We start from the raw sequence: 11,866 nt of genomic DNA, 5'->3' as shown, positions 1-11,866 counted from the left end.
CATCCGGGTCTCTTCCTTTTGGAATAACAATAGGAGCATTGAGAAGCAGACAGCTCTTTTTCTGTATGGAGGGCACCGTGCTAAGCACTTCACATGTGTTTTTCACTTGATCTTTCAATAGCCCTGCCAGGCAGACACTACTGTTATCCTCATTTAACAGTTGAGGAAAGTGAGGCTCAGAGCAGCATAACCAGGGTAGAAATCCAGGTCTTTCTGATGGTGAAACCCATGTATTTGCCCTCTGTGCTCTGCTTCCTCCTTTGTCTTAGAGCAGGACAAGCTGGGGAAAGGCATTGTGTTTGGATGCTGGCCTGCACCTGAGCCTTACTTCCCTGTCCTGACATTCTGTAAACAGACTGTGGTTCCTGCCCAGGCCCTGGGGCTGGGGCTCTGATGCATAAATCATTGGTTCTCTCTCTCTCTGACTTCTTAAGTGACTCATTCCCTGCCCCCTGGGCTGCCAGCCTCCCCCTCCCCCACCCACAGCCCAGCTTTCTCAAGGCCCTCATCGCCTCCCTCCATTGGTTCTCACCTTATTGTCTGATTGTGCCCACTGAGCCACCGTGTCTGCGGTGGTGGAGGGCTGGTGGGCCAGGAGAAACCCAGGCAGAGGAGGAAAAGTGTGAGACCAGAGCTGGGTGGAGGTGGGTCAGAGACTTTCCAGGAAGCTGTCCATCAGCCAGCTTCTAATTATCATAACTCTAGTGGGGAGTCCCACCCCTGTGCCAGGCCCACGCAAAGTGCTTGAACTGTGCTGTCTCATCAGTCCTCCCAACAGGCCAGTGAGTTGGTACCAGTATTTTTGTTTCGCTAAAGTGGAAACTGGGTCTTGGCTATTGTCCAAGGTCACACAACAGTAGTGGCAGAGCTGGGATGTGAATGCGGGGTGTCAGCCTCCCAAGCTGTACCACAATCTCAGGGTCTTTGGCCCCTCTGCCCTTCCTCCAGACCCCTTGTCTTGAAAGTTGAAGAGCTATGAACCAGAGAGAAAAGGAGACTGGGCTCTTGCCCTCAGGAAGCTTCCACTCTGGCTGGCGAGATAGAACCCACACCCACATGGACAAGGGTATTATTATTAGCATTATTGCTGAGGTGGCTGACCAATGACTCAAGTGAGACTGAAAGAGGGCAGGTTCCGAGTGTTTCCTAAATCGGGCAGGATGGCTCTGCTGTCCCTCACGGAGCAGGATGTTCAGCAGCCCCTGGCACCAACTACCAGAAGAGCCCTCCAGTCACTGTGACAACAGTTCCTCATTATTTGAAAATCACTGAAGACCAGGAAAGGGTTAAGTTGAAGGGGTCCTACTCACCAAATCCAATATGCTTGTCTCAACTCCTGCATCTCTTGTTTCGTTTTTTTGGGTCTTTTGTTTTGTTTTGTTTTGCATTTCATCCAGAAATATTTGAAGAGCACCTACCAGGCACCAAGCTCCGGGTCAGATGGTGGGAATAGAAAACTGATAAGTTGCAGGCTGGCCCCCAGATGCTATACCTGGGTGGGAAGTCAGAGGAGCTGGCCAGAAGGGTGCGGGGGCTCAGGCTTTGGTTGAGGTATGCCTGCAGTGCACAGAAGATGCCCCCCTCTAACCCAGGCCTCAGGTGTCCTTGCCGGTCAGTCCTTTCCAGCAGGAGCAGAGTGTGGCAGGCACGTTTCCAGGGAGCACAGCAGGTTGTGATGAGAGGGGTGTAGTGGAGGGGCAGAGTGCAGTGAGAGAAGGGCTAGAGGGGTGGGTGGGAATGCATTGTCTGATTGCTCAGCCAGGGCATTGCCAGGTCTTTGGGAATTTTATACAGGGAAGTCAAATGATTGGATCTGCCTGCAGCATGGAGGGTGGAAGGCAGGTGGGCTCCTGCAACAGTCCAAGCCAGAGAGAGAGAGAGGTGCCCTGACCTCAAAGGGTGGTAGTGGGGTGGAGGGAAGAGGGCAGCTTTGATAACTGCCTGGGTAGGAAGATCAACAAGTCCAGGTGGTTAATTGGGTGTAGCAGAGTGAGAGTTAAGGATGATGCTGAGGTCTCTGATTGGGTGACTTGGAGGATGCATGACATCCTCTGCAGGAGGGAATGCAGGAGACCGAGCAGGGGAGACAGGGAGCTCCCCTCTAACCTGTTGAACATTACTTGTGTCTGAATAGTCATGTCTGCCCAGTAGGCAGTTGGAAATTCGAGTCTAGGGTTGAAAAGGAAAATATAGATCAGAAATATGGGTGAGCAAGTCAGGTGGATGAGTGAGCCCACCTAGGGAGAACGTGGGGGAAGAGCTGGAGAGGACCCCACATCGAGGGAACCAGGCAGACTGAGAGAGACCCTGGAGGGACCGAGGAGTGGTGAGGGAGGTAGGAGGGACCCAGGGGTCATGTGGAACCAGGGAAACAATGATAGTGACCAGATGTTGAGAAGCCAGGCAAGATAAGGACTGACAAGCATCCACTGCACTCAATAAGGTCCTGTGATGTGGCAGAGCCAGCTCCTATTGAGTAGTGCTGAGACTGTGTTTGTTGGGCTCGGAAGATGGAGGAGGGGGCATGGTGAATGGAGACCACTTTTTCAAGAAGCGTGGCTGCAAGAGAGGATGAAGTGGCAGTAGCTGGAGCCAGGGAAGGTGTTGGTTAAAGACGGAAAACAGCTGAGGAGGCTTGTGTGGGAGGAGAGGTACCAGTGGAAAGGTTTAAGTAATGGAGATCCCCGGGCAATTAAGGGGGTGGGAGGATTGGCCTGGGACGGGAGGAGGGACAGGAGGGCAAGTAGCACCACATGATATTTGCAGGTGGCAGGCAGGGATCCAAGGGAGCTCACCTCATTTCCAGTCTTTCTGGAGCACCGGAGGCAGACTGTGCGGGAAGAGTGAGGGGGCCTGGGAGGTTTGTGGATGGAGGAGGAAGCTTGAAATTGTGGGTGATGGGTGAGAGAACCGAGGAAGGAGATGGGGAAAGGATGGCAGTGCCATGTTGAAGGCCCATTGGGGGTTGGAAACTATGCATTGGTGGCACCGCTAACCTAGGTAGGCATGGGCGAGCTCCACCCTTGGGTCCCCAGCCATCATCTCCCACCTCCTGGACTGGTCTCTGCCTCCGCTACTCAGAAAATCCTCAATCCTCCATCGCTATCTCTGGATTGCCCTCAAGCTGCCTGCCAGCCTCCCACTGGACGTGGCCACCTGATATAAAAATTCACCCGACAGGTGCCACTTCCTGCTTGTTCCAGGTGCTGGCAGGACAGAAGAGGGCCCTACCCTTGCTGAGTTTACAATTTAATAGGCTAGACCAACAGTAAAGTAACTAACAAGATCACTCCAGGTAATGATAAGGGTTGAGAAGGGCCTGTGTGGGGCAGTGTGGGGCAGTGGTTATGAGCAGGGACTCTGGAGCCAGAGTGCCTGGGTTCTCATCCTGCTTCTGCAGCGTGGTAGCTGGATGGCCTTGGACAAGTCGCCTGACCTCCCCGTGCCTCAGCAGTAAAGTAAAGATATGAGGATTACATTCGTTGATACTCGTAAAACACTTAAAACTGCCTAGCACATGGAAAATGCTATATATGGGCTTTTAAAATAGCAAGATAGTGTCTGGGGAGGCCACTTTGTATTGGGTGGTCAGGAACAGCTGTCTCATGTGACCCAAGATTCCCTGTTTCTAGAAGCAGGCTCGTCCCATCCTTTTGCTCTCTTTTGGAACTGGACCACCACCCTGCCCACTGCCAGGTTCTAGGATGACCGTGGCCTCCCCATCCTGTCCCTCCTGGCTGCCCTGTGGGTGGGGGTGGCAGAGAGTGGCATAAGCAGGGGATCTTGGGGGAGGGACCCAGGAGAGGCTGGCTGACTCACCTATCCATCTGTCTCTCACAGTGCTGTGTTCTTTGCAACCTACCTGACCCTGGCTTGCTGTTCTGGACCCAGGTATGCTAATGGCTTGAGGAGGAACTTGTGGGAATATGAGCAGGATCATGAAAATTCTGGCCCCAGCCCTGCCAGCCACCAGTGAGCTGTGCAGCCCTGAGAGGGCCCCATCCCTCTCTGGGCCTCTATCGAGCAGGCAGCCCCTCCCTCCTTTACCTGGTGCCTCTGAGGTAGGGAGAAGGGGAATGGAGAAGGGAGCAAATGGGGATGTGGCTGAAGGAAGAGGCTCTGAGGAGTGTGGAGGGGGTTGGTCAGAGACCCCCTCCCTGCAACAGTGTCACAGCCTGGGTCCACTGCCCCCACCCCCTACGATCCCCTGAACTCTGTGGCTTGCCTTGCAGGAGGCATTTCCCCTGGAACCTGATTCTCCTGACCGTCTTTGTAAGTGATCCTGGGTGTGCTGAGGACAGACGCTGAGTGGGGATGGAGGAAGAAGGGAAGCAGGGTGGATTGAGGACCAGGAAGACTGGGCTGGGGATGTCCAATGTGAGGTCCCTGGCGGGGCAGGGGTGTTTTCACCCCACTTCTTCCACAAACACATTCCATCTTCTCTTTCCAAATGGGCTTAATCTTGCCCGTTCCCCATCCACTGTCTTTTTTCATTGTGAATTTTTTAAGGGGTTTGCTTGAGGCATCCTAGAGCTATGGTAATGAAGAAGAGTGGAGGGTCTTAGAAGTGGGGAGCAGGGCCGCAGAAGAAAGGAAGGGACAGCTGGCACAGAGCCTGAAGCTGGCAGTAGGGACACTCCTTAGCCAGGCCTGACTCCCGAAAGTCAGTGTGTGTGGGGGTGACATAGACAAAGAGTTGAGGGGTACCTGCAAGGGGTGGAGACCTGAGCTGGACCTCGAGGGTGCCTGGGCCCCTGCGTCTGAGTTTGGAACATTCCTTTACCCTGCTTCTCCTTTCAGACCCTGTCCATGGCCTACCTCACTGGGATGCTGTCCAGGTAAAGGGAACAGGTGGAAGGAGAGAAGGACCATAGGCCAGGCTTGGAGCCAGGCACCAGCCACACCCGAGGGGAGCTGCCCCACACACATGGGAGCATGTGGATGGGCCCGGGGGCTCAGGCATGCAGGAGGCTTTGGCCTAGGGTCCTCTGCTTGAGCACTCAGCTGGACAGTGACCCCAAGACCTGGCCCGGTGGATAGGGGGTGGGGAGCAAGGTGGCTCCTCCCAAACAGTAGCTTACAAGCCCCAAGACTCATGACCTGCAGTTACTTGTAAACCACCTCCAGGCCCGGCACAAACCCCTCCCCACTCCCACTCCCACCTCATCAAGATCCTTCTAATTTGATTTTGAGTCTAAGCCTGTTGGGAGGGGCAGGGCCCAACAGAAAGGCTGGGGAGGCAGACAGAGGGATCTGGGGAAAGGGCACCAGACTGGGGCCAGGGATCCCAAGACCAGGTCCTGGCAGAAGAGAGGGGCCTGCTAGGAGGGTGGGGGAGACCAGATGCCCTGCCTGAGAGCTGACCCCTCGGCCTGACGGTCCTCAGCTACTACAACACCACCTCCGTGCTGCTGTGCCTGGGCATCACGGCCCTTGTCTGCCTCTCAGTCACCGTCTTCAGCTTCCAGACCAAGGTCAGCTCTGGGGCCTGCAGGCAGGGACCCCTGGCCTGAGGCTGAGCAGGGGAAGGCAGATGGGGTGGGGGCCTCAGAGCTCGGACCTGGGGCTGGGGAGAGAAGTAAAGGGGGTGAGTTGGGTTTGGGGAAGCCACCTGATGAGGGGGAGGAGGGGAAGGAATGCCAGGTTCTTGGGGTAAGCACAAGACTGTGGCCTGCTGTATGGGCTCAGCCTGTAGTTGGGGCCCCAGGAAGGTCAGGCCGCTCCTGCAGCTAACCCCATCCTGTCCCCACAGTTCGACTTCACCTCCTGCCAGGGCGTGCTCTTCGTGCTTCTCATGACTCTTTTCTTCAGCGGACTCATCCTGGCCATCCTCCTACCCTTCCAATATGTGAGTCTCTGGGTCCCCCAGCAGGCCCCATGGGGAGGGAGGGGCCCCACTGGCCCAAGGTGCCGTTCCCTCCCCTATCCGCCAGGGAAGGCCAGGAGCCAAGGCCCCACAGCCTGCCATCCTGTGCGGCCCCTCCTGGCACCTGCCACAGGCGTGCTGGCAGTGTAAGCAAACAAGGAGGCTTTTCTTGTCAGGCCTGGGTACCTGCCTGGCTCCACAAGCCACATCCGGCTTCACTTTTCCCGTCCTCCTCTGTGGGGTGGAGGTGAGATTGAGGGTAGGGTGTGGAGCATTTAAACCCTGGGCAGGGAAGGGAGTACTGGGGCTCCATGAGGCCCGCCAGACCCAGAGGGGCCTTGAAGAAGGGTCTTCTGGGGCTCCTGGGGGATCAGCCAAGTCCAAAGAGGCAGAATCTAGCTGGCCAGGCAGGCGGGACGTGGGGCAGCGGGGCTCGGAGTATACCCACATCCTTAGAGCATCCACCAGCTGGCGGCCAAGTCTCAGCTCTTTTAGAGGTGTCCAGCCTGCCCTGGGGAATCCAACTGAGACTCTGCAGGCACCCAGGCCCCTGCATGTGGAGAAGGGGCAGATTGGGGTCATCACAGGAAGGCCTTGAGATCTGAATCCTGGGAACCCAAGAGATGAGCTGTTGGACCGCTGCTGGGGGCCCAGTGCTTATACCCCTCACCCCCATAGCCACACATGGTACACAGTCCCCCACTGCCCTTTTCTAGTAGGGCTGCGAGCAGTTGTCCTCACATCCCCCTCCCCACCTCCATCCTGCCCAGCCCCAGCCTCCGGGCACTTGGCGTCCAGTCCAGGACGTCAGGATTGGTGCTGGCATTTCCTTGGCTCTTCCCAGGATCCTGTTGACAAAGGGAGGGGCCAGAGCTGGCCTGGGGGCCCTCTGTGTGTCTAGGATGGGGAGGAGTGTTACAGGAAGGGGCCACGGAACTTCAAAGAACCCTTTATTGACCCAGGTCTGGTTGATGGGTTGCCTTTGTTTCCGAGTCTTCTGGAGGAGGGCCCCATGGAGGGCCCTAGTGCGGTGCCTCCTGCAGAGTTTCCCCCACAGCTGGCTGCTCCAGACCTGGAGGAAGACTCAGGGGGCAGAGAGTGGGGAGGTGCTGTTCCAGCCTGTGCTGTTCCAGCTGTTCCTCCACCATGCACAGCTGGCAGAGACTCCAGATGCCCCCCCAACACACCCCTGAGGTCAAGTCTTTGTCCCCTTCTACCTGAGTTCCTTGCCTCCAAGGCAGAGCCCAGGAGTGCCCTGACACAAGGACAGACAGATCCTATGCTGGACAGGGATGAACGCACACTGGGAGGCGGGAGCAGCCTCAAGCAGTCCCAGGCTAGAGGGAGGACAGGGCCCACCGAGAGTCATCTTCATCTGCCCTGAGCCCAGGGCTGTGTGCTGCGGGAAGAACGACCAGGCTCGGGGGAGTTCTCCCACCAGTCCCACCAGGATCGCTCTTATCCCGGGCCTCACTTCACCCACCCTGGGCACACAGAGAATCAGGGGCCACTGTCAGTCCTGGGGCTCCTTAGGGAGCTCTGGGCAGGGCTACCCCGTGTCCTCCATTCTCTGGACTGAACCCTCCTCCCTGCCCCTCTGACTGCTGCCCCTTCTTGTCGTCCCTAAGCCCATTTTTCCTCTGCCGCAGGTGCCCTGGCTCCATGCAGTTTATGCAGCACTGGGAGCGGGTGTATTTACATTGGTGAGTGTGGTCTAGCTCCTTGGCAGCCTCCTTCCCAGCATCCTGACCATCACCCCAGTCCCCTTCTCCTCCCATCTTCCTCACAGCCCTCTTCCCTGGATCCTCGGGAGCACCTGCGGGTAGGGCTAGGCTCGGTGCTGCGTTTGTTTGTTTGTTCATTTGGGGGATTCTACCTGGTTTCCAGGACAGACCGGCTGACCTGGGCAGGAGGGAAGATTGTAACAGCAGGATGGAAGCTGTAGACAGAGGCAAAGCTGGGAAGAGGCATCCCTTCCTCCAGGGGAGGGGCAGCGGTGCTTGCGGGGGCGAGAGAGTGGGGGTATCCTGGCCATGTGGACCAAGTTAGTAGTTACCCTCCTAGGGGCAATCAGGGAAGGCTTCTTGGAGCCAGGGAGATTCCAGGTACCCTGAGAGAGAGACTGTTAGATTGAGCATGTTCTTTGCTGTTCTCACGAAACTGAGAATGTTGATGATGATGATTACGGTTAGGATAACAGTAACAGCTAATATTTATTGAACACTTGCTTCCCCCCAGCCAGCTCTCCATAGCATTTAATTGTCATCTTAAGTCTATAAGATAGGTTCTACTGTTAATAAATTAAGATGGGGAGGCCGGTCACGGTGGCTCACGCCTATAATCCCAGCACTTTGGAAGGCTGAGGAGGGCGGATCATGAGGTCAGGAGATCAAGACCATCCTGGCTAACATGGTGAAACCCCGTCTTTACTAAAAATACAAAAAAAATTAGCCGGGTGTGGTGGCGGGCGCCTGTATTCCAGCTACTCCGGAGGCTGAGGCAGGAGAATGGTGTGAACCCGGGAGGCAGAGCTTGCAGTGAGCCGAGATCGCGCCACTGCACTCCAGCCTGGGCAACAGAGTGAGACTCCGTCTCAAAAATAATAATAATAATAAATAAATTAAGATGGGGAAACTGAAGCTCAGAGATATCAAATAACATGCCCAAGGTCACACAGCATCCTAGGAAGTGATAGGGCCAAACTGGGAACCTGGACAGTCTGATGTGTGTCCCCCTTGGGGTCTGAGGCTAAGTGGGGAGTGGCCGGAAGCAGATGCCCAGGAGGCAAGAGATGACCACGGACAGACACCTGCCTGGAGCTGCCCAACACAGGCCTCCTGCTCAGGTGGGCCCCACGCACCCGAATGCAGTCGTGTTTTAGGACCCACCCAGTTGGGCAAGCTTGTGCTGGTGACATCCTCTCGGAAAGGCATTCAAGGTCAACATTTATTGACAATGGAAGCAGTAACCAGACTCTCCCCTCCCTCGCTGGAACGTTCAGCTCAATTCAAGTGGCCAGAGTTGCAGCTTAGTCAAATTTCCGGAGGCTTGTGGGCGACAGGCTGAGGGGGCTGAAATGGGGGAAGGGATGGGGAGAGAGCTGTGAGCAGAGGTTTTGGGGGCTTTGGATAGGGATCAAGCCTGAGTGAGGGTGTGGCAGGTTCATTCACGCGTCCTCTCCGCAGGTCTTTATAGAGCACCTACTGTGTGTGATGTGCAGCACGGCTGCCCAGATGCCTGGTCAGCAGGGAGAGTGCAGTGCGTGGTGCAGAGTAGCACACAGCCAGTATTGTAGAATGAATAAATGACCTCCAGGCTTGGAACTGGAGGGCTGAGATCTAGATGAGAAAACTGAACTCCAGAGAAATGGAATGATTTGTCCATGGTTTCCCGGCAAGATAATGGCTCAATGTGGTCTTGATCAAGACTAAAGTGTCAGCTTACCCCAGGCTACCTAGGACTTTTCCAGTTTCAGCACTGAAAGCCCCACTTCTTGAGGAGCCCCTAAATCCTGGGCAAACTGGGAGCCTGGCCACCAGAAGACACTAACTTTTCTCAGACCCCGCACCATGCTCTTCCCTCCAGGCAATACTTCCTAAAGAAAGGTTTCAAAGGATGTGGTGGGGAATCGGACTAGGAGAGAAAGAGGAGGGCCACATTCGGGAGAGCTAGTCTGGGCAACAGCGCCTGGAGGCCCTAGAGGGAGGCATTTGCAGGGGACAGAAGAGGGGCCAAGCCAGGGCAGACAGTCTGGTGATGTTGGAGGCAGTGAGCACCCATGGGGGGCCGGCCGGGGAGTTTACTTGGCTTCCCGTGGATCAGGTTACAGCCAGTGTGTGAACCACCTGAGGAAGCCATGCATGCAAGTAGGGCTGGGTGAACAGTAATCCCTTAAATTTGTTTGATAAGCCCTAGTGTTATTAGAATAATAACAATAGTCCCCATCCTCTGTTCCACCCTTTATGTTTTACAAAGCACTTTCACACCTGTTACCTCCCCGCATCTCCACCACAGTCTGGCCAGGGAGTGGGGGCAGGCAGCCCTGAGGCTGTAAGACTTGCTTTCCACATCCAAAGCCCTGGGTGTTAACGGGCTGGCACAGAGTCTTTTTTTTTGAGACGGAGTCTCACTCTGTCGCCCAGGCTGGAGTGCAGTAGCGCGATCTTGGCTGACTGCAAGCTCCACCTCCCAGGTTCACGCCATTCTCCTGCCTCAGTCTCCCAAGGAGCTGGGACTACAGGTGCCCGCCACCATGCCCTGCTAATTTTTTGTATTTTTAGTAGAGACGAGCTTTCACTGTGTTAGCCAGGATGGTCTCGATCTCCTGACCTCGTGATCCGCCCGCCTTGGCCTCCCAAAGTGCTGGGATTACAGGCGTGAGTGACCATGCCCGTCCTGGCACAGATTCTTATGGCCAGTAACAGGCAGATTGAGGACCAAGACCCAGGTGTCCTGTGCCCAGCCTGGTGCCATTTCCAGTGCCCCTGTGGTTCCCTTCAAAGAGGACACCTTCTGTGGTTCTACTGGCTTGGAATTGGGGAGAGGCTGAGGAGTTCTCTCCAGGAATTTTTCTCTCTCTCTCTGTCATCAGTATTGCCCTCTCTAATGGAGTAGTCCCATTAACATAGGAACACGTTGCAATTTCTCCCACCTGAAAATAACCCACAAAACACTCTTGACCCACATCCCCCTTCTCACTCCTGCCCCATTCCCTGCTCCCCATATACAGCAAAATTCCTTTTAAGAGAACCTCCACTCACTATGTCCAGTGGCTCTCCTCCCTCTCTCCTTCTTCCCTACTCTCCTCACAATTCCTTTCCCTCCCATTCTCTCTCTCTCTCTGTTTTTTGTTTTTTTTTTTTTCTGAGACGGAGTCTGGCTGTGTCGCCCAGGCTGGAGTGCAGTGGCATGATTTCCACTCACTGCAACCTCTGCCTCCTGGGTTCAAGTGATTCTCCTGCCTCAGCCTCCTGAGTAGCTGGGACTACAGGCATGCACCACCATGCCTGGCTAATTTTTTTGTATTTTTAGTAGAGATGGGGTCTTGCCATGTTGGCCAGGCTGGTCTTGAACTCCTGACCTCAGATGATCCGCCCGCCTCAGCCTCCCAAAGTGCTGGGATAACAGGCATGAGCCATAGCGCCCGACCATTCCCTCTTGATCCTCTTAAACACACTCTCATCCAGGTCAAAGGGACCTCTGTGTAGCTAAATCCGGGGACCCAGTCTCAGTCCTCATCTTGCTGGACTCCCAGAAGTATTGGATACAACGGTTCCTTCCCTCTCCCACCTGCCCCAAAACACCTTCTTCCCTTGGTGTCCAGGCCACCACCCACCCAGGCGTTTCTACAGCCTGCTTGATCCTGCAAAAGGCCGACTCTTCTCTTTCTACCCTGCTCCCTCAGGGTCTCAGGCAGCCTCAAAGCTTTGAATGCGATATTTTATGATGATTACTCTAACATTTACATCTCTATCCTGGATCTCTCTCTTGAATTCTAGACTAGAATTTCCGGTTGCCTAGTGAGGGTCTGCATGAGGAAGTCTCATAGGCACCTCAGACTTCACATGTACAAAACCAAGCTCCTGCCCCTTCCCCTGGATGCCTGCTTTTCCCAAAGCCTTCCCCATCTTCCTGTCACTCAGGACAAATGCCTTGGTGACACCTTCCACTCCTCCCCTCTCCTCACCCCCTACATCACGCCCCACATCAATGCTGTGGCCCCCACTCCTATCCAGAATCTGAAAACTTATCTCTGCCCTCATGGCTACTCCCTGTCCCAGCCCCCGTCGCCTCCAGCCTGGATTGATTGTTGCCATGGCCTCCTGCAGGCTGCCCCTGTGCCCTGCATCTATGCACAGCACAGCAGCTGGAGTTGTTAGGTCCCCTCGTTCCTCCGTTGAGCATCCCGCAATCGCTTCCCACAGCCTGCAAGCTCTCTGACCTCCCCACTCCCCTCTGCTGTAGCCACACTGGACTCGTGCTGTGTGAGCATGGCAGGCT

The 11,866-nt window shown here is 55.4% G+C and overlaps 1 protein-coding gene across 2 annotated transcripts in view, besides 3 other annotated features; it reads left to right on the top strand.

Moving 5' to 3' along the window:
• FAIM2 (Fas apoptotic inhibitory molecule 2) overlaps positions 1 to 11,866 on the top strand; it is a 37,005-nt gene that overhangs the window by 8,946 nt on the left and 16,193 nt on the right. For both annotated transcript variants that reach the window (NM_012306.4, XM_005268730.4), the window contains 6 exons: positions 3,841 to 3,891; positions 4,233 to 4,272; positions 4,801 to 4,838; positions 5,387 to 5,474; positions 5,753 to 5,848; positions 7,516 to 7,569. In NM_012306.4, the coding sequence (NP_036438.2) occupies positions 3,841 to 3,891; positions 4,233 to 4,272; positions 4,801 to 4,838; positions 5,387 to 5,474; positions 5,753 to 5,848; positions 7,516 to 7,569 (367 nt within the window). The remainder of the gene's footprint in view (positions 1 to 3,840; positions 3,892 to 4,232; positions 4,273 to 4,800; positions 4,839 to 5,386; positions 5,475 to 5,752; positions 5,849 to 7,515; positions 7,570 to 11,866) is intronic.
• Positions 5,528 to 6,316: an enhancer, noted in NCBI's record as "H3K4me1 hESC enhancer chr12:50282422-50283210 (GRCh37/hg19 assembly coordinates)". NCBI's record gives its function as "activates a minimal SCP1, AML or CMV promoter by ChIP-STARR-seq in naive and primed H9 embryonic stem cells {active_cell/tissue: H9 hESC(naive and primed)}" and the evidence as "EXISTENCE:reporter gene assay evidence [ECO:0000049][PMID:30033119]".
• Positions 6,317 to 7,105: an enhancer, noted in NCBI's record as "NANOG-H3K4me1 hESC enhancer chr12:50281633-50282421 (GRCh37/hg19 assembly coordinates)". NCBI's record gives its function as "activates a minimal SCP1, AML or CMV promoter by ChIP-STARR-seq in naive H9 embryonic stem cells {active_cell/tissue: H9 hESC(naive)}" and the evidence as "EXISTENCE:reporter gene assay evidence [ECO:0000049][PMID:30033119]".
• Positions 7,106 to 7,894: an enhancer, noted in NCBI's record as "H3K4me1 hESC enhancer chr12:50280844-50281632 (GRCh37/hg19 assembly coordinates)". NCBI's record gives its function as "activates a minimal SCP1, AML or CMV promoter by ChIP-STARR-seq in primed H9 embryonic stem cells {active_cell/tissue: H9 hESC(primed)}" and the evidence as "EXISTENCE:reporter gene assay evidence [ECO:0000049][PMID:30033119]".

This window comes from Homo sapiens, chromosome 12, assembly GCF_000001405.40.
Source record: "Homo sapiens chromosome 12, GRCh38.p14 Primary Assembly".
In the NCBI taxonomy this organism is placed as follows: Eukaryota; Metazoa; Chordata; class Mammalia; order Primates; family Hominidae; genus Homo; species Homo sapiens.
The sequence above is the reverse complement of the archived record's forward strand: the minus strand, read 5'-3'. Positions and strand labels throughout refer to the sequence as shown.